This window comes from Homo sapiens, chromosome 1, assembly GCF_000001405.40.
Source record: "Homo sapiens chromosome 1, GRCh38.p14 Primary Assembly".
Taxonomy (NCBI): Eukaryota; Metazoa; Chordata; class Mammalia; order Primates; family Hominidae; genus Homo; species Homo sapiens.
In genome coordinates this window covers 164877554-164903619 of record NC_000001.11, presented here as the reverse complement: position 1 = coordinate 164903619, position 26066 = coordinate 164877554, and the positions used below count along the sequence as shown (strand labels likewise).

General features: G+C 40.7%; 1 protein-coding gene across 5 annotated transcripts in view; it reads right to left on the bottom strand.

Moving 5' to 3' along the window:
* The window catches only part of PBX1 (PBX homeobox 1), a 326864-nt gene continuing 318370 nt past the window's right edge, over positions 17573 to 26066 (bottom strand). For all 5 annotated transcript variants that reach the window (XM_011509590.3, XM_011509592.3, XM_017001395.3 and 2 more), the window contains one exon: positions 17573 to 19078. In XM_011509590.3, coding sequence (XP_011507892.1) covers positions 19058 to 19078 — 21 coding nt within the window. In that variant the 3' untranslated portion in view covers positions 17573 to 19057. The remainder of the gene's footprint in view (positions 19079 to 26066) is intronic.

Here is a 26066-nt window from a genome sequence, read left to right as displayed (position 1 = left end):
TAGGTAAGAGAGCTTGTGCAGGGGAACTCCCATTTATAAAACCATCAGCTCTCATGAAACTGATTCACTATCCCAAGAACAGCATGGGAAAAACCTGTCCCCCATGATGCAATTACCTCCCACTGAGTCCCTCCCACAACATGTGGGGATTATGGGAGCTACAATTCAAGATGAGATTTGGGTGGGGACATAGCCAAACCATACCAAAAGGCAATAAAAAAAAAAGTATTTTCTACGATAAAACTGTGATGACATTATTTGTCTGATTATTTTCAAGGAATGGCAGCATCTTTGAGGATCTTGGAGTCAGAGAAATTCAGACACCAAAAAGTCGAAGAGACTTAAGAGATCCTTTCTACCTTTTTGTCTGACTCTTAATTCTCCTATTTCATCTCCTTGAAATGTGTCATTGATCATCTGTTTGGAACCCACTAACAATGGAGAGCTTAATTCAACATGACAGAGGGGAGGAACCAGACACATAAATAGGCCATTTTAATAAAATGTGATTAATGCTATAAGAGAACTGTGGAGTGGCAACTATGGGAGTGGTCATGAGGAGTGGCCTGGCCTGGAAGTCTACGGAATGAAATAAGGCTTCCAAGGGAAAATGACATTGTGCTGGCTCTTGAAAGGAAGAAGGGAGTTTGGCAGATAAGGGGAATAGTGAGGGAGTGAGTGGGGATCATTCAGAAGTGGGCAAAAATATCAAATATTTAGCAGTTATGTGAATCATGTGACAGGTGTCTCAGTGTAGCTGGAGCATGGGCCATGGATGCAGGGATATTGACAGATAAAGCACAGCCCAAACTGGAAACTACCCCATGCTGAGGAGTTTGGATTTTATCCTGAAGTTGAAAGGGAGTCATTTAAGGGTTTTAAGGGATTGACAGGATCAAATCTGCATTTAAAATGAACTGGAATAAGAATGGAATCTGGGAGACCCCGAGGAAGCTAGTGCAAGGCCTGACAAAGAGGGATCAAGGAAGAAGGAGAGACAGCAGTAAAAGTTAAAGATTTTATGAGAATGTGGGTGTGGTATGGATAGAGAGTGGGAGAAGTAGAGGGTGATGCCCAGGTTTCTAGCTTGGGTACTTTGGTACCTGAAAAATTATGCGGGGGGAAGCAGAGCAAGTTCTATGCCATCACTGGCAAACTCCAGGTGTAAAGTGAGTCTTCTTGTATTGATCTGAAAATGACTACAACCCTTTAACCTTCTCAGGGATGGTCTTAGTCTCTCCTCCATAATTATAAATAGCAATGAACATTATTTTGTGAATGTACTAAGTTGCAAATAAATATTCTACTGGCAGACTGAGCCAGATTTTATCATGTTTCTCTCTCTCTCTCTTTCACTCTCTCTCTCTCTCCACATATAATTATATATATAACGTATATTATGTGTATATACAATTATATAAAAATATATATATAATTCTTGTTTTTCTAGGAGCTCAAAGGCTATATATATATATATATATATATATATATAGAGAGAGAGAGAGAGAGAGAGAGAGAGCTCTTAGAAAAACAAGAGTTACAAAACTCCAAAGGTTCACTCCCATTATTATATCTAATGTCTGAAAACAAGCTTGCCTTATGAAATTTTAAGGCCAGGTGTGATGGCTCATGCCTGTAATCCCAGCACTTTAGGAGGCCGAGGCAGGCGGATAGCTTGAGTCCAGGAGTTCAAGACCAGCCTGGGCAACGTGGCAAGATGCCGTCTCAACAAAAAATACAAAAATTAGCCAGGAGTGGTGGTGTGTGCCTGTTGTCTCAGCTACTTGGGCGGCTGAGGTGGAAGAATCAATTGAGCCCTGGAGGTTGAGGTTGCAGTGAGCCGTGACTGTGCTACTGCACTTCAGCCTGGGTGACAGAGCGAGACAGAGATTTTTTAAAAAATAGGTAAATAAACGTTCAGCAAATGCAAACACTGGGAAGCAATGGATAAATTGTGAAAAAAGTAATGGTGCCCCATCCTTCCTCTCCTCCCACTGGCCTCTTCATTGCTTGTGTTGCCTGTCTTACCATTTATTCCACCGTAATGACTAGGAGGCTAACCACAGCTCTGTTCCTGATACAATACTCCTCGTTTTGCAAAAGCCATTGGGAATAAGGAATCAAATATAGAATTTGCTGAAGGGCACAAATATCAGCAGTATTCAACTATCCAAATCCAACCTAATGACATTCAGCTAAATCTGGGAAGTCAAAGATGCTATTCACCCTCTGTGACAACTGTTACTGCTTTTTCCTTTTCCCATCCAAACTTTTTTCAAAGAAAGGATATCTTTTGACTAGGCCAGTTACTAAACTTCACTGAAGAAGAGACGTGAAGAATGAAGTGATTTCATGTAAAAGCACAGTTTGTGGAGGTTATGCCAATTCCTGCTCGGGCCAACATGTTTCTTGCTTCAGAAGTCAGCGAAACTCAAACTGCACAGCCTTTTCTTCCTTCCCGGCATATCTTTACTCATATGGCAAAGTTGCAACCATGTCTTATTTTAATAGGAGTAAATGTAGATATATCTCATTCTTATATTGAGCCAGTATTGCTTTTTAAATATACGGGGAAACATTGTTTTTAATATAGTCCTATTAAGTTAAAAAATGCAGTAAAACATCACCTGAAGATGTAGATGTAAAGCTGGTTGAGTAACGGTATTTTCATTTCACTCCCCACCCTCGAAATTCACTAAACCATTGGAATTAATTTTTAGGAAGTGAAAGAATAACATGAAGAGAAATCCCTCTCTGAAGAAAAAAGAAAACTTCACAAACCCATCCTACAACCTATAAAACAGCCACTTAATAACGTTAAGTTTGGGCTAAGATGATAGGCCACAGGAAAGCCGAAGGCAGAAAGAAGGCAGAAAATGGACAGATTGCAACATGGAATGTCTGTGAATTAAAGCAGAGAATTATCTCTCATTTGCTTTTAGATGGCCAAGTTTTTTATGGATTTATAAACATTGCTATGCAAAAGATCTTAACCCTTTGTCTTTCACACAGGTTGAATATTTTCTTCTGAATTTTATATCTTAATTAAAATTTTGCATATAACTTATTTTGTTTTGATATTGCTTTTGTTTTGTTTGGGGGTAGGGTGCTTTTTAGGTAGCCAAATATATTATTTTCCTATCTTTGGTGCTGTGATTAGAAAAAATGCTATAAAATGCTTTACAGCCTTTTTAAACTTAATTAGACTGTATTAAAAACAGTGTTTCCCGATATATTTAAAAAGTGATACTGGCTCAATATAATCATGAGAATATCTACATTTACTCCTATTAAAGTAAGACACAGTTGCAATTTTGCCAAAAGATGAATTAGAGAGTATTTATCCTGATATTTTACCAAAATGTTAGTTCATCTGAAATTGATCTTGAAATTTACCTTTTCCAACAAATTAATTAACCCAGCATTGAATAAACCAGACTTTCTGCTGTCATCTTTGTCACATATTAACTTCTTATATATACACTAGAGTCCTGTTTTTAACTTTTTTTAACTTTTTTAAGTGATGTTGCAAGATTTTTTTTTAACTTTTATTTTGGGTTTGGGGATACATGCACAAGTTTGTTATGTGGGTAAACTCATGGCATGAGGGTTAGTTTTACAAATTATTCTGTCATTCAGGTACTAAACATAGTACCCAATAATTATTTTTTTCTGCTCCTCTCCCTTCTCCCACCCTCAAGGAGGTCCCAGTGCCTGTTGTTCCCTTCTTTGTGTTCATGTGTTCTCATCATTTAGCTCACACTTGTAAATGAGAACACGCAGTATTTGGTTTTCAGTTTCTGTGTTAGTTTGCTAAGGATAATGACCTCCAGCTCCATTCATGTTCCTGCAAAAGACATGATCTCATCTTATTCTTTTATGACTGCATAGTATTCCACGGTGTATATCTACCATGCTTTCTTTCTTCAATCTGTCATTGATGAGCATTTAGATTTATTCCATGTCTTCACTATTGTGAATAGTGCTGCAATGAACATATGCATGCATATGTCTTTATAATAGAATGATTTATATTCCTCTGGGTATATACCCAGTAATGGGATTGCTGGATCAAATGGTAGTTCTGTTTTTAACTCTTTGAGGAATCACCATACTTCTTTCCACAATGGTTGAACTAATTTACACTCCCATCACTCCCACTAGCACAGTGTAAAAGTGCTCCCTTTTCTCTGAAACCTCAGTAGTATCTGTTACTTTTTGACTTTTTAAAAAGAGCCATTCTCACTGGTGTGAGATGGTACTAATTGTGGCTTTGGTTTGCATTTCTCTAATGATCAGTGATGTTAAGCTTTTTTTTGAGATGGAGTTTCGCTCTTGTTGCCCAGGCTGGAGTGCAATGGTGCAGTCTTGGCTCACCACAACCTCCATCTCCTGGGTTCAAGTGATTCTCCTGCCTCAGCCTCCCGAGTAGCTGGGATTACAGAAATATGCCACCACGCCTGGCTAATTTTGTATTTTTAGTAGAGATGGGGTTTCTCTATGTTGGTCAGGTTGGTCGTGAACTCCCAACCTCCAGTGATATGCCTGCCTCGGCCTCCCAGTGTGCTGGGATTACAGGTGTGAGCCACCATGCCCGTTTGAGCTTTTTTATATATACTTATTGGCTGCACATATGTCTTGTTTAGAAAAGTGTCTATTCATGTCCTTTGCCCACTTTTTAATGTGGTTGTTTGTTTTTTTCTTGTAAATTTGTTTAAGTTCCTTATAGATGCTGGATATTAGACCTTTGTCAGATGCATAGTTTGCAAATATTTTCTCCCTTTCTGTAGGCTGTCTGTTTACTCTGTTGATAGTTTCTTTTGCTGTGTAGAAGCTTTTAAAGTTTAATTAGATCTCATTTGTCAACTTTTGCTTTTGTTGCAATTGCTCTTGGAGTCTTTGTCATGAAATCTTTGCCTGTTCCTATGTCCACAATGGTATTTGTCTACATTGTCTTCCAGACTTTTTATAGTTTTGACTTTTACAGTTAAGTCCTTAATTCATCTTTAGTTTATTTTTGTATACAGTGTAAGAAAGATGCCCAGTTTCACTTTTCTGCATATGGCTAGGCAGTTCTCTCAGCACCATTTATTGAATAGGGAGTCCTTTCTCCATTGCTTGTTTTTGTTAGCTTTGTCAAAGAACAGATGGTTGTAGTTGTGTGGCCTTATTTCTGGGCTCTCTATTCTGTTCCATTTGTCTATGTGTTGGTTTTTGTACCAGTATCATGCTGTTTTGGTTACTGTAGCTTTGTAGTATAGTTTTAAGTTGGGTAACGTGATGCCTTCAGCTTTGTTTGTTCTTTTTGCTTAGGATTGCCTTGGGTATTCAGGCTCTTTTTTGTTTCCATATACGTTTTAAAATAGTTTGTTCTAATTCTGCAAAGAATGTCATTGGTAGTTTGATAGGAATAGCATTGAATCTATAAATTGCTTTTGGTAGTATGGCCATTTTAATGATATTGATTCTTCCTATCCATGAGCATGGGATGTTTTCCATTTGTTCGTGTGATCTCTGATTTCTTTGAGCAGTGTCTTGTAATTCTCATTGCAGAAATCTTTCACCTCCCTGGTTAGCTGTATGCCTAGGTATTTAAGTGGGATTGTATTTCTTATTCAGCTCTTGGCTTGATTGTTATTGGTGTATGAGAATGCTAGTGATTTTTGTACATTGATTTTGTATCCTGAAACTTTGCTGAAGTTGTTGATTAGCTGAAGGAGCTTTTGGGGTTTTTGATTAGCTGAAGGAGCTTTTGGGGTTTTTGATTAGATGAAGGAGCTTTTGGGGCTTTCTAGATTTAGAAAAGACTATGAGGTTTTCTAGATCTAGAACTACGTCATCTGCAAACAGGAATAATCTGACTTCCTCTCTTCCTATTTGGATGCCCTTTATTTCTTTTTCTTGCTGATTTCCCTGGCCAGAACTTCCAATACTATGTTGAATAGCAGTGGTAAGAGACGGCAACCTTGCAAGATGGTATTGTTAATAAATAATTGTTAAATTTAGTAGATGTTGAAATTGGCATTGTGATTATGTTAAAAAATAAAGTGCATACTGAAGTGTTTAGGAGTATCTGCAATGTATTTTAGCAAAATTAAAAGAGGGTAAAAAAAGAAGCAAGTATGGAGAAAAGTTGATAGTTGCTGAAGCTTGATGATGGGTAATGTTGTACTCTGTACTCGTGAGCATGTTTGGGAATGTTCATAATGAAAACTTCAAAAAAGGCTTAAGTTGACATCACATTGCAAACATCTTGGATTCACTGCTCTCTAACCTTGGAATTCTGTTGTCTTATCTCAGTCTACATTATAACCTCTCATCTGAATTTGTGCTTTTTCCCAGCTTTGGTATCCAAGGATCCTCTAGTTTTATTTTTCTGTCTTTTGCCTCTTGGCACACTGCTAGTGCTGCCCCCTTTCATTGACTTGGAGCAGCTTGCATGAGGTCAGCGGCTACCCCAATAAACTGTCCTTGTGACTGAAAAAAAGAGGAAATTTCTGGAGGTTGCTGATTGGCTTCTTTCCCCAATTGCCTTCCACCCACCTCTGTTCCGTGGTCAAAGACAAAGTTATAGTTTCAGTGAAACGTTTCTTATTATCTTTCTACACTTATTTTGGAGAATGAAAGCAGCTGATTGTCTTTTTTTCTTTTTTTTTTTTTTTTAACAGAGTCTCGCTTTGGTGCCCAGGCTGGTGTGCAGTGGCACCATCACAGCTCACTGAAGCCTCAACCTCCCAGGCAATTCTACCTCAGCCTCCCGAGTAGCTGGGACTACAGGCATGCACCACCACACCCGACTAATTTTTGTATTTATGTTGCCTAGACTGGTCCCAGAATCTTGGCCTTAAGTGACCTTCTCGCCTCTGGTTCCCAAAGTGTACAGGCATGAACAACCACACCTGGCCTGATTTTCTATTAATAATAATTATATACCCTAGTATTAATATATGTAGTTATCCTCCTGCCCTGTCTTTCAAGTTTCTAAAAAACAAAATTATACCTCTACAAGCCTTGTATAATTTTCTTTTTTTTTTCTTTTTTTTTTTTTTGAGATGGAGTCTCGCTCTGTCGCCCAGGCTGGAGGGCAGTGACGCAATCTTGCCTCACTGCAAGCTCCGCCTCCAGGTCCACGACATTCTCCTGCCTCAGCCTCCCTAGTAGCTGACACTACAGGCACCCGCCACCACGCCTGGCTAATTTTTTATATTTTTAGTAGAGACAGCGTTTCACCGTGTTAACCAGGATGGTCTCGATCTCCTGACCTCGTGATCCGCCTGCCTCGGCCTCCCAAAGTGCTGGGATTACAGGCGTGAGCCACTGCGCCCAGCCAAGCCTTGTATAATTTTCTAAAGAAGTTTCTAGGATACAACATTCCAGTGGAAATGTCCCCAAGAGAACAAATTGCTTCTCCTTAGTATTTCTTCCAGCCTACCAACCACGGGGTCTCCTTTTCCTTTCTTCTTTTTGGTACCCTCTTGTTATCCTAATTACAGAGAGCAAAACAAAGAATGTTCATAAAGTGGTAAAACTCAAGTGGCAGAAGATCAGAATCCTCCTATAATAATATTGAGAAATTGTCCAAGCTTTCTAAAGAGAGCTGCTTTGCATGCATTTTCACTTAATCCTTCAAAATACTCCCATATAATGTATATTATTACGTCACCATTTTACAGATGTAGAAACCGAGGATCAGTGATATTAAATAAAGTTGCCCAGGCCCATCAAGCTAATAAGTGTCAATGCAGAGACTCAGACTCAGGGCTGTCTGAATTCAAAGCCTGTGCTGTTGAATGCCTTCTAACGCTGCCTCACAAATCCTCATTTATTCAGGACTTACATCAATATTAAACACTCTTCCTCCCCAGTCAGGCCTCTTCCTTGTTGCTGGGTGAGTGACCGTGCTGTTAGTCACCACCGTGGAAAGAAACCTTTGTGACAGTTAATGGTCTACATGCATGTAGGAGACTCAAAATAAAGCAAAATAGCCTATTTGCATAAATAGAATCTGCTCAAATGTCAGCAGGCACGAGCTGGCAACAAATGTGAAGACAAGGCAAAGAGGAGGAAGGACCACCACTTGCCTCACACCCTCCCTTGTCCCTGCAGCCTCTGTCCTGGACCCTGGGACCCACCAGGGAGCACGTCCTGTCAGATAAGCCCCAGCCAGACAGACGTTGTCATTTGACTTCAGCACATCACTCTGATCCAGATCAGTTCCAAGCTAGACACCCAATCATGAGTGGAATTTGGTTTGACACATACCTGGCTGTGAAAGCCATGTTCTCGCCCCCACCCTTGCCCACTTGACCCCCATAGCCTCATATGTCAGAATGTGACATCCCAGGTGTCAGCTGTAGTACCAAGTGCACAGAACAAGAGAAAGATGGGCAATGACAGCAGAGGCTCCAGTGCCCAGCCCAAGCCTGGCACCAGGACTGGCCTCCTGCCTGGGAGGAAAGAGCGGGCCCACAGCTGTGTGTCAGGGAGGCTGGGACTGCAAAGCCCCTTCAGCTGGGTGCCATGGGGTCTGGAATACCACTGCCAGAACTGCCAGAATTTTTCTTTTGCTCCAGCATTGTCCTCTCCTCATAAACTCTGAGCCATTCGGTGTGAATTTGGATATTAAACAACATTTCCCTGGCTGGAAGAACCCAGAGGTGCAAGAGTGTGACATGAAGTTACCAAAGACAAGATAACTCACAATTTTCCCTAGCACTGACTCTTGAGGTAAAGTAGGAAAAGAATATATGCTAAAAGGAGGCAAAAATGAATGTTTACTGAGCATTTAGTAAGTATCAGCCCTGTATAGGTGCTTTGTATACAACATATTTTATTGTTGGAGCAACACAGCAAAGCTCATAAAAGAAGCTGCTCAAGATCATATGCTTACTAAGTAATGGCCCTGGAATCATGGCTGGTACACTCCACAGCATCTCTTCTTCCTATTAAGCTTATTTACCTGGGGCCAGGAGAGCAGTGTTGGGCACACCAGGTTAAGTTCTCAGTTCTTTGCATTATCCCTCCTGTCTGATACCCCAGACAGAGATGGGAAGGAATGGTCAAATATGGAATCTCATCAATTCCCAAGCCCCCAGGCTCCCATGACAGTTGAAAGGCTCCCTTTCCTCCCATACATCCTATAGTACTCTTGGGACTGTGCAGGTTCCTGATTGACCAGGTAGGAGCTTTGAGCCCTATGAGGGCAGAGTCTTGGCCCCATGTTGCTGAGCCGTTGGTGATGACTTCTTGACACGATGACGAGTCAAATGCTTGTAGTAATCTCCAGCTCACATTGGTGGATGCTGCAGGCAACAACCTAGATGGCCACAGAGTACTGTGTTCCCAGACTTCAGGATTCCTAATTTTTAAAAGCATTAAGGACTGTCATGTAGTTCACAATGTTCCGTTTTGCCAAGCAAATATATAAACCTCCACTATTTATTATCATTATAAGTTCATAAAGAAGAGATCTTTAAATACCAAAAGTGTAGGAAGGGCATTGTCTCATTAAAGACAGGCTTTCTCGAGAAAGAAAGTTTGCAAGGTTATGTTGATATGCACATATTTCATATTTGTCATAGTTGTATGAAAATATCATCAATAACCTGTGTAAGTCTTTAGACTAACATTAAGGGATCCTTGATTAAGATGGAAAGGTCTTAGACTGAGAGTCAGGCTACCTGGGGTCAATCTCAGACCCCACTGCTAACCATCTGTGTGGCCTTGGGCAAGTCGCATCATCTCTGTGATGCTTAGTTTCCTCCCTCATAGGATGGAGTAATAACACCCACCTTAGCGGGGCATGGTGAGGACTAAATGAAATAATGAGTGAAAAATGCAGATGAGGAAACATATCAATTTCCTCATCTGTTAAATAAGGGAATTAGATGAAATGAGTGTTGAGATCCCTCTCAACTCTCTATGATTACAGGAAAGCAGCTTAAGTTTCCTGGCCATACAGCATAGGCCTCAGAGAGGAAATACTTTCTTAGAGAGAGAGATTCACTCTCAAAGAGAAAGTGTCCCATATAACCTGGGACAGATCAGGTTTTGGGTCAACCCTAGCAAATTCTCAACCCCTCTTTCACCTATGCCTAGATCCTTTTCCTGGTCATCTTCATACATAAATAAAAGCAGCAAATGCTTTTGTGCTGTGTTTTGGCAAAGTTGGGATTCCAGAGATAGCCACAGTTGGTGGCCCACTTTAAGAAGCTGAGATCAGAAGTAAAACACAAAGACATGAAGAGTTAAATAACACAAAGTGTCAATCCTGATCACGTAACTGGCTTTGAGTTCACTGAGCCCCTGAATCCCATTCCATCTCTGCCACTCTGTGTTCTAGAGTGCAACACTCTCAATAGAATCAAATCTCAGGAAAGGCAGGGAAAGAAAGTGGGCACAGGGCATGTGGTATATGCAGTGCTCATGCACGCATGTGAAGGATGAGGCAGTGGGATGTCTTCGTTTCTCCCTCCATTGTTCTTCCATTTCTGCCTCCCAGGTCCTCATCCACCTGGGATGCACAAGGAATGAAAGGTCCCACACTGCTTTAGTTTGCCAGTGGGGCAGGAATCATTGACTTATGCTCGCTTGCTCTGCCTTACATGCAAAGATTTACATCTTAGGTGTATGAGGCCAGAGACAGCTTAGGCAGGAGAAACATTTTGCAAAGCTCCAAGAATGATTTAAAAGCACTACAGGCTTAATGCGTGGAGCACTGGGCTGGATGCAGGTGCATTGGTGGCACCTGTCTTTGCCTAAATGTTGGATTTCATCCCTTCTGTAGACTCCATTGTCACAAAACCTGGACTAAGCCCAGCCCCCTCCATGAAGTGCATAGACAGTCCTGCCAGTGCCAAGATGTTCTGGAAAACTGACAACCATGTGAAGAAGGCTATGAGTGTGTATTTGTATGTGCGTGCATGCGTGTATGTGTGTGTGTTCCTTTGTCTGTGTCTGTATGTGTGTGTGTATTCATATTACCTATCAGGAAAGATGAGAGCAATCCAGATGCAGTTTGCTAAGTATTGGCATGTTATCAGATTAAGCTGTGAAGATCATACTTCCAATGTCAAAGTGCAGCTGAAGGTCAGTATGCCCAAGGTAAGTGGCTTTAGAAGTTCTTACTAGGAAAGGAAGATTGAGCTGAACACACCTTATAGCCTCTCCAACTTACCCAAAGCCCATTAACCAGTCTGAGTGAGTTGCATCCAGCCCTACAGATTCCAGTACTTGGAAATATGTATTAAGAAGCTCAGAGATGCATGAGTCAATGGGAGCTGACAGCGGGCAGTGGTGGAGGTTTGAAACAGGTAACAGACCTAGAGAATGTTTCATAGCTGCCAATGCTAGGTTTTCCATCTGCTCTTTTAAGGTAAATCTTGTGGTACATCCATGGTAGATAGGAGGCAGGTTTCTGAGCTCTTGCCTTACAAAGGGTCTCTTTTTTAAAATTATTTGCACATGTGAACCAGAAGCTTTCAAACAAAACCCTGAAAACTTTATTGCCTTTTTCTGAACAGGAGAGAGAGTTTCTGTAAGAGCCATCACAATTAAAACAGCATCAAAAGAGGCATCTGTATGGAAATAGAATAAAATAATTAAAAAGATGAAATAGTTCAAGGGGTGCACAAACCATTCATCCCCTCCCTCACCTCATGCTCCTACCTTTTTCCCCCAGGAGGAGCTGACTTTTAAAATATTGCAGGTATCAACAGGAAATCTGCTGAAGATGCAAGAGTGAAGTTTAATAGGGTCTGTTCTGTGCTTGATCACCTTGCTGCCAGTGGGGACACCTACTGTTGGGAAAAATGACAGGTCATTTAAAAAGAGAAAGGAACAGCCAACAGGGTGAGCATCCTGGGACAGGCAGCACTTCAGCAAGTAATCTTCTGCCAGAGCAGGGAGAGAGATGCCAGAACTTGCCAGAGCAGGACTGCAGCAAAGAACTTTACCTGGTCTGGGATGGATGTAGAGGACAAGCCTGGAAGTGGCTTTATGCAGGTTTTCCATAAGCCCTAAGCTCCAAAAAAAAAAAAAAAAAAAAAAAGAAAAACTGTATATTACACAGACATTGAACTTAGGCTGATCTATTAGGAATTGGCTAGGACACTGTATTAGTATGCGTTTCCCAGAAAAACAGAACCAATAAGATATAAGTTTTATTTAATAAACTTTATTAATTATGAGAAATTGGCTCACACAATGATGGAGACTGAGTAGTCCCACAATCTGCATCTGCAAGCTAGAGACCTAGAAAAGTCAAGGTGTAGTTTCCAGCCTATTTCCGACCACCTGAGAACCAGGAGAACCAATGGCTTCGGTTCTGATCCAAGAACAAAGGCCAAAACCAGAACCAGGTTTCAGTTCTGATCCAAGAACCAGTGCACTGAAGATGTAAGTTCTAATTCATATCTGAACCCTAAGATGCAGGCATGGTAATGGTGTAAGTCCCAGTTTAGGGGCAGGGGAAGACCAATGCTTCAGCTTAAGCAGTAAGACATGGAGAGCAAATTCTCTTTTATTCAGCCTTTTTTTCTGTTTAGACCTCCAGTGGTTTGGATGAGGCTTACCCACACCGGGGAAGGCCATCTACTCTACTCGGCCCACCAATTCAATCAAAAGATTGGTTCAGCTCAATCTTCCTTTCCTAGTAAGGACTTTTTTTTTTTTTTTTTTTTTGAGACGGAGTCTCGCTCGGTCGCCCAGGCTGGAGTGCAGTGGTGCGGTCTCCGCTCACTGCAAGCTCTACCTCCCGGGTTCATGCCATTCTCCTGCCTCAGCCTCCTGAGTAGCTGGGACTACAGACACCTGCCACCACGCCCGGCTAATTTTTTGTATTTTTAGTAGAGATGGGGTTCCACCATGTTAGCCAGGCTGGTCTTGAACTCCTGACCTCATGATCCACCCTCCTCGTCCTCCCAAAGTGCTGGGATTACAGGCGTGAGCCACCCTTTCTTAGTAAGAACTTCTAAAGCCGCTTACCTTGGGCATGCTAATCTCTTCCAGAAACACCCTCACCGACACACCCAGAAATAATGTTTAACCAAATATTTGGACACTCTGCGACTCGGTCAAGTTGACACATTAAATTGATCGTTACAAGCACTGTTCTGTGAGCGGGTCCAAACGGACCCTGGAAAATGGTATCAGTTAACATACAGTGTATGTGTAAAGTCCCACATACTGAAAAGTGTGCTCTGGGACTGCTTCCCAATATGCAGTGGTTATTGCCATTCCTCCTCACTACAAAATAAATGTAACTCACTGGAGCATTACTTGGTAACCTCCTGCTGACTTCTGGGAGTAAATGGACAAGTGCAGCAACTGTATTTGAGAAGGACATGGTGACCATAATCATCTGGCTGCCAAATGTGTTCGGTCCTGCCCCATTTGGTAACAGCAGCATCACCTCCTAAGGTGGGTCAGTTGGCCTTCTTCCCTTACCTTGCTTGGTGGTCTCTACCAGATAGAGCTCACAGTGCTAAGACAGCAGCCATAGATGATAGTCCAATGTGGCTTGCTATGTGTCCTGGAGGAAGGATTTCTTCTTTGTGAAGTAGACTCCTAGACCCACAAAGACTAGAGTTATGGGAACAGGATGCACAAATCCCGTAAGTAGGTCACTGGGAGTGATGGAAGTGGGTCACTATGACTTCTAGCCCTTGGCTTCAGATTCGTGTACTCTATATATCAGGGACATAGCACCATAAAATGGTCATTGATCTAGATGTATGTTCTGGAAGATGGTGCCCTATCATTGCAAGCTATGATTTCTAAGCTTGTGCTGTCTTAAAAAAATTCATTCTATAATTCTGTCAAGATAGTAGTATCTCGATGGTGTTGCATATGACAGGAAAGTGAACCCCATGGTCATTTGCTCACTGCTATCCTTCCTTTGCTATAAAGTGGGTTCCTTGGTCCAATGTGATATGATGTAGAATCCTGTGTCAGTGGATCATATGCTTTAGAAACCCTCAAAAATTGGTACCAGACAAGGCCTTGAGGTAGGAAAGGCAAAGCCAAATGTCATATACCTGTTTATTTCCGTCAAGATGAATTTTTGCCCTTTACAGGGTAGGAGAGATCCTGTGTTCTCAAGTTACTATCAAATGGTTAGTCTCCTTGAGGAATGGGGTGCCATATTTGTAAAGGGGCTTACTCTGGTCCATGTTGCTAGCATAGACATTTTTTAATGGCAATAACTAGATTAGCTTTGGTAAGCAGGAGTCCTTGCTATTGGACCTGCTCTCTGCCACCATAGCCATTTTGTTTATGTGCCCATTGAGCCAGCACTGGGCTGGCCAATGAGAAAAGCAGGCACTTTCTGACTCATTCTATCTATGTGATTGTTTAGTGCCTCTTCTTCAGTGGATACTCTTGGGTGAATGTTAATTAAGTGATGCAAAAATTCTCATTCTTTTTGCCCACTTTCATAAGTCCATCCACATATGTCCTTCCTAGATCTCCTTGTCTCTAACTCCTAAATATCTCTTCTTCTAGGTTCCTAATCACTAGCCAAGCCATTTGCCATTGCCATGAGTCTTTTATGTTTTTATCTCAGTCCACTTTTTTTCCCCACACAAAATATATGGCCGGTGAATCACTCAAAGCTCTGCTGATTCTAATAATTTCTGTTTCCCACTGTACTTCACAGCATTCATTACCCAAGAGTGGGTGTGCTCCTGCTGCCATCCATTTGGGGCTTGCCCCACATACTAAGCTCAGACTTTTCCTCCTCAGCCACCGCATCATAAAGGACTCTTCAAGTTGCCAAATGTGTGAGCTGAGGGAGATGCACCAGTGTAACAGTGGGAATAACATGGAAGTCTGGTCCTTTGGCTCTTGTAGCTCACTATGCCCTCTGGGTCTATTTGTATCTGAGCCCGTATAAAACACTTCCATCTTATAATGGGTAGTTGATAGGTCCACTGTGTTTTAAAATTTGCTGGGTCTGATTTAACCCAATTTATGAGAGGATGTCTGGCTACACAGTCAGTTGATATTCCAGATCAGGTACTCATCTCTCCTAGGTCCCAGTTGTACACTGGAGCTCTTTTTTCAACTGGAGTCTAATTTTCTGATGCAAAAGGCATGACCTTGCTCCAAAATTTTATGGGTTCATATTGTGGTACTCTCACTGTGGCTTGACATAGCTGCACAGCATGTCTTTTCCCAGCATAGATACCTATAATATCACGGGGACTACTGGGTCATATGGTCCCAGTTGCAGGGCTGCTTATACTGCAACTGAAACTTCTACAGAGCCCTTTCCTACTCTAGGCTTCACCCAAAGTTAGAAATTTTCCATGTTACCTGATAAATGGTCAGAGCAGTATGTCCAAATGTGGAAGTTCTGCTTCTTCCAGAACCCAAAGAGAACTATCAGGTATTGTGATTCTTTCTCAGAAGATATAAATTGAAATACTCTGCCCTTATTTTTGGAAGGGCAATCTCAAGATGCCTCATAGCACTGAACTTCTAAAAAGTTCACTAATATGGCAGGTCTCTGAATATGCATAGGTTTTATTTTATTTATTTATTTTTATGTTTTTGAGATGAGTCCCTATCACCCAGGCTGAGTGCAGTGGCATGGTCATGGCTCACCGCAGCCTCGACCTCTCGGGCTGAAACAAACCCCACACCTCAGCCTCCCAGTTAGCTGGAACTATAGGCATGTGCCATCATGCCCAGATAATTTTTTATTTTTTGTAGAGATGAGGTTTCACTATGTTGCCCAGGCTGATCTCAAATTCCTGGATGCAAGTAATCCTCCCACCTTGGCCTCCCAAAGTGCTGGGATTACAGGCATGAACCACTGCATACGGTTTTACCTTTTATCCTGTGAACCACATGCATCTTACTCAAGGCTTTCAGAATAGTTACTAGTTTTCGATACTTCTTATCATGACCTCATCCATACAGTAAATAAATGTGACATTCGTTGGAATAACCAGATAGTCTAAGTCCTTTCAGACTCTATGATGATAGAGGGTAGAAGAATTAACATAGCCCTGGTACAAGATCACAAATACACTTTGTTGTCCACCCTATGTGAATATGGACTGCTTCTTGTCATCTTTCTTGACAGGGATGGAAAACAACTTATTTGCCATATCAAAGGCTGCATACCATATACTTGATGCTGTGTTAATCTTCTCTAGCAAAGATATCACACCTGGCACAGCAGTTGCAATTGGGGCTAACACTTGTATGAGTTTACAGTAATGCAACTGTCATGTTCTAGTATCCTTCTAGTTTTAGTAGGGACTAAACCAGTAAATTAATGGGGATATGATGAGGACCACCATCCCTACATCCTTTAGGTATTTAAGCATTCCATTAATCTCTTCCGTTCACTCTAGCATGCAATATTGCTTTTGGTTTACTATTTTCGTAGGGAAGTGGGGTTGGAGGAAGAGAAGTTCAGAAGATTACACTTGGTCTTCCTCATTACAGTAGCTCTTACCCCACAGTCCAAGGAACGCTGTGAGCTTTCTATCAACTACCAAGTATATGCATTTCAATTATTCTTTCAGTTACTGAGGAAATTCCCAAGTGTGGGTCCACGGACTCAGTGGATGCACTGTGGGCAATCACAATTGTGGATACACTAAGACCCCATATTTTGACAACAAGACTGTGATGACTATCTGGGTCTCAGATATCAATGTCAACTTGGGACCTATGTCTCATGGCTCAAACTGTTTGGGTCATCCTCTTCCCCTAGTATATGATCACTTGAGAAAATGGCCAAGGGCCTTTTGGGAAAATAATGAGAAAATCATTACCATATATATTTTCTATAAAATTTAAATGGTCTCATCACCTAGGGACCCAGTTTTTTGTTTGTTTGTTTCTGTCAGTGGGTTCTGAATCTGAAAACTGACTTGAGTCTGGGTATCATGTCTTGACTTTTATTGAGATGACTGTCCTCAGCCTCATAATCATCTATCCTTGATTTCTTCGAGTTTATAGGTTGAACAATACTCTTATTTGCTGTCCATTTATCTTGTCCCTAGAAATGCCATATTTTGCTTACCGTCTCCATAAGTGCGTGATCTCCTTAGTTGCACTCCAACCTTGTCACTCATTACAATAATTATCCTCAGAGTCAACGAGATTTAGTTACCTAGCTTCTGGGAGACCTCTAGAAATGAGCAACCTGATATCTCCTGAGACAGATTATTCTATCATTACACATCCAATTATGTTGAAATCCTTTCTTGTGCAGCAGAAGTATTCTTCCTGGAATTGCTATCTATGTGACACACCTTTAGGTATTTGAAGGTAGCAACCACACAAATCCCCTCTTACTTCCCTCACAATGATTAACTCCACTTGCTTCTAGACTAATCTTCACAGAATCAAGCCTTCACATTCATTAGCTGGGTTAAAGTACTAATCCTGGGTTAATCTTGGGTTATCTGGAGAAGAAAGAGAACACATGTGCCCCACTGAGATGAGGGAAAGTTGCGATAAAATGGTAACATAAAGAGAGAACATGTCTGGAGTGTTTACTGTGTACCGGGTCTTGTGCAAAGGACATTACTCACACTACACTCACAAAAAATTCATTTATGCAAGAAATATTTATTAATCACCTAAATCATTCTAGAAACTGGGGATACAGCAGTAAAGAATACAAAAAATCCTGCCCTTATAGAGCATACATTCTAGAGGTGGGAAAGAGGCAATAAATAAGATAATTGAGTGCTATATAGTATGTTAGGTATTGAGTGCTAAGGAAAATAATAAAATGAGGAAAGAGGATAGGAAATGCCAGATGGTTTACAAGTTTAGCTATTGTGTTCAAGAAAGTTCTCACAAAAAGGTAAGTTGAGTGAAGACCTGAAGGAGGTAAAAGAGTGACCTTTGCGGATATCTGGGAAAGACTGTCCCCAGGAGAATGAACAATAAGGGCAAAGACCCTGAGGTAGGTATTATCATCTCCATTTTTACAGATGGGAAAATTACTTGCCCAAGAGCCCATTGCTTGAAGACGGAGCCAGGATTCAAACTCAGGTCTGCTTGATGTTAGAGCTAGTGTACCACACACCTGCCCAGCGACGTAGTGTGAGTGACATTAGGCAATCTAGAAACACTCTATACTATGGATGATGACACAAAGCCTAGAAGCATGAAGCAACTTGCTGGGATGAACACGTGTGGATAATGGCTGAGCTGAGACTGGTGTGCTGTCATTTCCACTCCACCATCCCTGCTTCCAGAATCCAGGCATTTTTCCTCTAGCTAGAAATATTTCCCAGAGAAGTTAATGGACTTGGTATAACTTTATCAATGTGTTTTGCCAATAGGCATTTTAAAGTCTTGTCATTCCCCAGCCATACTAAATGATGTCTTTGAGCTCTGATTTCTCTCGTTGGTAGGTGTGGGATAGTTATGGAGCACAGATTACAGAGTTAGATACATCTAAACCTGAAAACAGGCCCCACACTTTTGTAGCTATGTGATCTTGGGCAAGTTATTAAATATCTCTAACTCCCACATCATCCACAGAACAAGGATAGAAATGCCTGCCAGGGATTTGGTGGGGATTAGATAAATTAGTACTTGTACAGCACCTCACACAGTGACCGGTACAGGGGAGATGCACTAAATGTGTTCACTGCCTTCTCCCTATGTAGTTAATTGTCTTTTTACATGCACAACTCTTGCTTTCTTAATTTATTATAATATTTTGAGAATTTAGAGGTTGTCATATATATACCTAGCTATTCATCACATTTTATGTTATATGGTGGTGCACAGTAAATGCTTAAAAGTGATTATTTGATTGCTGGATTAGTGGGGGCGAAGAGAAAGAGAGATTATTGCTTTGGGGCTCTGTTGATGCCACAGTCTTCCAGTTGCAACATCTGCCAACTCACTGCTCACCAGAGTTTTTTGGCTGATATGACTGGCCAGCAGGTATCCTTTTGCTTCTTCAAAAGTCAGTATGTGTCATTCCGGAAGAGAGGCCACTTTTCAGATAGGGGAAGACATTTCTTCAGTCAAGAGAAGAGGACTTGCTGTCACCACCAGAGCATCCAAGCCATCAATAGGTTCTTGCAATTTCCTGGTAAGAAGGAAAAATTCCAGTTTAACTCACAACTTTAACACCCCCTATCCACAGATCTTTCATCATGACTGCTATCAAAGAGTCAAATTGACCGATTTCAGTTTTTATTTCTTTCGCCCACCCTCTGGCAAGATCTCAATGAGCAGCTAACCAGCTGAAAATAGGAGAAGAAGAAAAAGGCCTGGACCTAGATGATTCAGGAAATGGCTCATCAGCCACCAAAAATTGAAGCCACTTTTCATTCATATAATATGGAAAAAAATCTCCATGATAAATATTAGGAATAGTTCAATGGAGTCACCTGTTTATAATTTCTTTTTAAGAAAAAAATGTGATTCATTTTTGCAGTACTTTCTCCTACATTAGCTTGTTTAATCTTCATAGCAACTCTACGAAATAGTTATTATTACCCGTGTTTTACAGATGAAGCAACTGATCCTAGTAATATTAAATGACTTGCTCAAGGTTACACAGCTGGTTAGTTGCAAACCCAGGACTTAAATCTGCATGCTCGTAATTTGACCAATGGTTTTCCCCTTCCCCTTGTTTATCTACCTCCACCTAAAAAGAAGCTAATGAAGAACATTCTGTACTGGCCCTATCATAGGTCAATGACAGTTCAGAGGGAGTGTTAGACACCTGTCCTCTTTTTTGTAGCAAATTGTACATAGAACCCAGCCTTAATATAAAAACATTGTCAGAGAAAAATGTTTTTCAAAAGTTAATAGTGCATCTAAGATTAATTTGTACTTGTTTCTGAGTAGCTGAGAAGAGCTCAAAGACATGAAGCATTACTCCTATTCATTACAGAAGGGGAAGGTGCCGGTGCTCCCATTTTATGGCCAGGGATAAAGAAGAGAGAAAGAGAATGTATAACAAAGTTGAAAAAACAGCTAGTGCTTCTAATTTCTGAACTCAAATTTGGCAAAATTCAGCTTGACAAACTTAAAAAAAATCTATCAATAAATTTCCAAAATAGTAATTGTATACATATATGTGAGCAAATATTAGAAGGAAATTATGGAAAATGAGGACTATTGTGTTAGGGTGATAGAATTATAAAGATATTTTTTCTGTTTTCACATATTTTGCAATGACTTTATATTATTTTGTGTAAGGAAGATATAAAGCAATAATTATAATTATTTTAGTGGATGCTTTGAAAATATCCATTTGCCCAGGGCTAGGCAATCCCTTTCCACCAAATTCCCAAAATGACAATTGATTGAGTTGACAATAGCTGAAGACAGATTTTTTTTATGGGTGAGAGGCGCTAATAACATCGTCTCATGTTGGTACATAGAATTGGGTCTTGTGGAATTAGTACTCTGTACCTGAACACTGATGGCCTCAACTTTCTCTAGTCCTCCTCAGAATGAACATTGAAGTGGGGCTTGATGTTTTTAACTAAAGTCTTTTAGAATAGATTCTCTAGCAAGATTTTCCCTTTTATTTTCACCTAAAGAGCTTGAAAGATTTTTAAACCAATTATTTCAGTAATATGCCTAATTCACTAACCTTTGTAATTTCTCCTTTAGTTCGGTAGCTTTTATAATTCCTCATTTAGTTTAGAATGCTAGAGCTTGAGGAAGAGAAAACAGTTAACGTTCTTGTCTGCAGATGAAGAAACTGAGGCTGAGAAAATATAGTTCCAAATTTAAACTAAGTATATAGCATAGCATAGCATAGCATAGCATGTATCATATTTTCCCAATTATAATTACAGATACCCCTATAAAATAAGTACACCTGTTCCTCTCCTTGATGTTACTGATGTCCTTGATTATAATTACATCAGAGGCTGGGCATGGTAGCTCATGCCTGTAATCCCAGTATTTTGAGAGGTCAAAATGAGAGGATCACTTGAGGCCAGGAGTTGGAGGCCAGCCTAATCAACATAGTGAGACTCCATCTCTATTTTATTTTTTAAAAAGAATATAGAATATTAAAGTAAAAAAATATGCGTTAGTTCAGTAGAAAGTACTCTAGCCCTTGGTACTGAGGGCCTAAGAATAAATTTGGACTATAGACTTTTCACATTTGATAGTGAAAGAGGGACACACACTGTATATGTATGAACTTACGTATGGACAATTTTAATTTCACTTGTTTTCTCACAGGAGAATATTATCCCATGGCTTAAGAATCTTAAACAGAATCTAAGAAATCAAGAAAAAATGAAGCCATGAAAATGAGGAGCACAGATGAGAATTTCCCAGGCTCTCCCATGGACTCTCAGGCACATTTCCCTGAGTTGCCTTCACTTTCTCAGAAGATGCATATTTAGTGAGCACCATATTTAGGCAGCATAGAGTTAGAGGCCTAGGCTCCAGCCCTGGAGCTGCCAATGATCATCTGTGTGATTTTGAGAAAATCACTTAATATCTCTGGGTCTCCTACCTCAACTACCAAAAAAAAAAAAGGGTTGGACTAAAGATTGTTTAAATCATTTGGATTGCATGAAACTGACTCAGGTTATTTTAGGCAGAAAAAGAGTAAATCAGAAGGATATCAGGGAGCACAGAGAATTTTACCTGGATAATTAGTTTTGGGAAAAAGATGAAACCAGGACAGCTTGGTGAGGGGCATAGCGGGTGGGACCTGATGGTAGAAAGGTAGTGTAGGTGCAAGTCTCATTGGAGTGAGCTGCTGCTAAAGTGAATGAGCTTCTAAGATTCTTTGTCCTTGCATCTCAAGTTCCAGATCTTAGGACTTTGGCTAGTTGGCCTAGGGTAAGTCCATGTGACCAAATCTCAACTAGAAGATAGCAGCCAATGTAACTTACAGCCTCACCAAGACAGCACACAGTAGCCAATGAGCAGATGCTGGACAGCCAGAAAATGTAGTGTCTTTGGAACTTCCTAGCTCTCTCCTTCCTTCCTCTTTTTCCCCACTTTTCCTCCCCTTTTTTCTTCTTCCTTTCCTTTCCTTTCCTTTCCTTTCCTTCCTCCCTTCCTTCCTCTCTCTCTCTCTCTCACCACCGCTACTCTCTCTGGTTCTTCTTTAGTACTCTTACAAATATCAACTGGCATTTATACGATGGGGAGAGTACACAAGGGCAAGGTGTTCTCTCCTCTTTTCTATTTTTCCTTTCCTTCCTCCCTTCCTTCCTCCCTCCCTTCCTTCCTACCTTCTTTTCCTCCTTCCTTCCTTCCTTCCTTCCTTCCTTCTTTTCCTCCTTCCTTCCTTCCTTCCTTCCTTCCTTCTTTTCCTCCTTCCTTCCTTCCTTCCTTCCCTCTTTCCTTCCTTTCTCTCTGTGTCTCTGCAGTTCTTCTTCAAGACTCTTCCAAGTATCAACTGGCTTTTATACTATGGGGGGTTTACATTTTAGCACTCAAGGGTGAGCTGTTCTCCCCCAGAAAAATCCCCACTTCTCTCCAGACTCCCGGGAGGATTAGGCTCATGGTGGGAGAAAAAGGGGAGGGCTGTCTTGGCTGCAGTTGGGTACCAGAAAGCCAGAGTGTAGCAATGTTCATAAAGACCAGAGCCAGAGAGCACTGGGAGCATGAGCTTGGAGCAGATGGCTAGGAGATCAGACCACCAAGGACCACTAGGTCCCGCTCCTAGTCAGAGGGGTTTTCTTTCAGAGTGTTCCCATTAACACATTTTCTTGGCCTTCGCCTTATGGCTGCTGGAATGAGTGGCTTTTTTCCTTTTCCAAACTGTCCTTATCAGTAATGCAACAATAGCTAATTTAATTAGCTGACCTGAATGGCAGCCAGCTTGAGCTAATTTGGTTTTGCTAGTGCTCTCTGGTATGTACAGAACTGATAATCCTACTTCCCTCTAGACACACTAGAGGGCTTGGGAGGGGGCAGCAAGAGTGACAGTGGCTCTTCCAAAGTCAATCCTACACCTGTGGGATTTAGCACTTGACCAAAGGCAAGTAGTCTTGAGTCAGTATTTCCCAAGGGCCTGTCAACTTTGTCAACTGAAAGAGATAAAATATACAACCAAGAAATTGCAAAGGCAAGGTGCCCAGGATGGGAGTGCTGGGAAAAAGCATTCCCCTTAGCAGAAAGAACGCTTGGCCAAAAGATCTGGATCTCAGCCATTGACTGACCTTCCCAAGTCCCCACACCTTGGTGTCTCAGCTACCAGATGCATCATAATAATCACTGTGAAGAAATACTTCCTTTGCAGACATGCTGTAGCACGATATAATGTAGATGAGAGTGCATTGACACACAGAAAACTGTGGCAATGAAGAACGCTTTGATAATTAGCCTATCATCATGAGCATATTTTCTGTTTATCAAGGGCAGGAACTAAACACCATCCTCTCTGTGTCCCTAGCATCAAATATGAGGTCTCCACACAGAAGGTGCCCAACATGTGCTTGTTGACGGAATAATACAGGAATAGGGGTATGAGGAGATGTGTAGGTATAGTTTAAGGTGCAGGGAAGTCAACACATAATTAAAGAAACATTGAAAAACATAAGCCTTCTTTTCAGGTAAATGTCTTAACCCTCTCCATCCTTGACAGAAGGGAAAACTGCCAGAGAGGCACAACGGTTTATTCAGATTTCAATACATCAAAATAGCTCTTCTATACCACTGGCACCTCTGCCCTCATTCCCCAGCCCAGGTACTTCCAGAGCCACTGCCCAACTAAGGTAAAGGAGCACCCCCAGCGTAGGCTTTTGTGTTTTTTTAGGGTTCTTTTCCCCCTTAAGTACTGCATTTCAATGGAATACGGATTAGAATTTGCATGTATTCACATGGAATAAATGATGTATTGTTAAAATAAGTAGATTTGAAAAAGTTTGGAATAGGAAAGATCTATCTGGTCATATTATCCACTCCCATTACTTTAGTATGCCTTGGTATATTGGTATTGGGCCAAACACATTTAACCATCATGACTACCGTGTTGACTTACTCCATCCATGCTCCCTTGGTGATCCCATCCAGTGCATGAGTTGAGCTGTGTCCTATATGCTGATCTTCACCTCTGACCTCATTCCTGGGCTCAGTTATCTTCAAACACAACTGCCTGTTGGAGGTTTCCACTTAGATCTTCTGTTACATGTCAAACCCAAGATGACAGAAATTGCCCTCCTCACCTATGTTTACAGAATCCTCTGTTTTAGCGGTTGCTCACATTTACCAAGGCCAGAACCCCAACCTTCCCTTCATGCCTACTTGCAGGTAGCCACTGAGTCCACTGATTTTGCCTTCTAAATATCTTTCAAATCCAGGCCTTTCTCACCACTGAAATTGTTTTATTTATATCTTTCATTCCCTAGCCCCCAACTCCAAATAGGTGTTTCTCAAAGGTGAATTCTGTGCCAATCAGGCAAATAAATGTTTGTTCACCTGAACTGAATTAAAATTTTTCTCCCTCTGTTCCACTAAATTTCAAATCTTTAGTGAATACCAATTACTATACTTAAGAAAACCAAAGGTATAGTTGAATTTTTCCATTCTGTTGTAACAGCTATTCCAATGGGCTCTTAATTGACAGCTAATCCCCAGATTTGGGATGAGTACACTTTGCTTAGCTGAGACTGTGCAGCCTCAGTGGTGGGCTTACCTTTTGGGTCTGCTCTAAAACCTGAGGCTCATACAAAGAACACTTAAGTTTCTCCTATGCTTCCAGAAAGGCAGATTATGCTCCGGCTGCCATAATTTCTTCTTCAAAGATTCCTTGTCTTTGACTGTCTCATAGTTAACCCTAAAATCAGGTGTGCATTACATTTTATAAGTTCAAATTTCCTACATATTCCTATAACACATTTAAAATAATTGGTATTCCTTAATCATAATTGGTGTTCCAATAATAATTTTGTTTTTTTACCCATTTCTCTAACTTTTACTTAGCTACTGACATGGTCTTCATATTTAGATTTTTTTTTTTCCTATAGCAATTCCCCTAAAACCCTAGGGCTAGTGGGTGATGTCATTGCATATTGAAATGTAGCCAGATCATAATGGAAATGACAGCCTTGAGCCAGACTGCCTCAGTTCAATTCCTGATTCTACTACCTCTCCATCTCAGTTTCATCATCTGTAATAAGGGATTATAATGTGACTGCATACTTCACAGTCTTCTTGCAAATATTAAAAAAGCTAATTCATATGCCACATTAAGTATTCTACTTGGCACAACATAGGCAGGCTATTGTTTTATTAACCTGATATTGAGGATCTAGGAGACATCAAAGGAATTTTGGTGCACAATTTATTTTTATTTTTTAAAAATTTATTTTAATTGCAAAATCAAATGCTTACCATGAATAGAGGCTGTGCTATGCAGTTTACCTATATTATCTCATCTAATCCTCACAGTAACCCTATAATGTAGTTTTAATTATGGAGGAAAAAAACAGCCTCAGACAGATTAAGAAACTTGCCATTTGGCACACAGATAACAAATGACAGAACTGGAATTCGAACTCTAAACTGAGTCCAAAGCTAAAATTAAATAAAATACATACTAAGCACTCTAAGTGTTTATGTCTCTAAATAAAACAAAGACAAAATACAACATTGGATGAATCTCAAAATAATTAGGTTGAGTGAAAGAAGCCAGACAAGAAAGAGTATATAGTGCAGGATTCCACTTATATAAAACTCAAGAAAATGCAAGCTAACTTTAGTGAGAGAAAACCCATCAGTGGTTGGCTGGGGAGAAGATGAGGCAAGAAGAGGTAGGAAGAATGGATTACAAAGAAGCAAACTTTTGGATGTGATGAATATGTTCATTATCTTGGTTGTGGTGATCACTTGTGTATCACTTGTGTATATGTATGTCAAAACTTACCAAATTGTACACTTCAAATGTACAGTTTATTATATGTCATTATGTTCAATGAAGTTGAGCATAATATGTTTAATAATGAATAAACACTTGAACTACTTTTTTTTTTTTGAGACAAGGTCTCATTCCAATGCCCAAGTTGGAGTGCAGTGGCGCGATCTCAGCTCACTGCAACCTCTGTCTACTGGGTTCAAGTGATTCTCCTGCCTCAGCCTCCTGA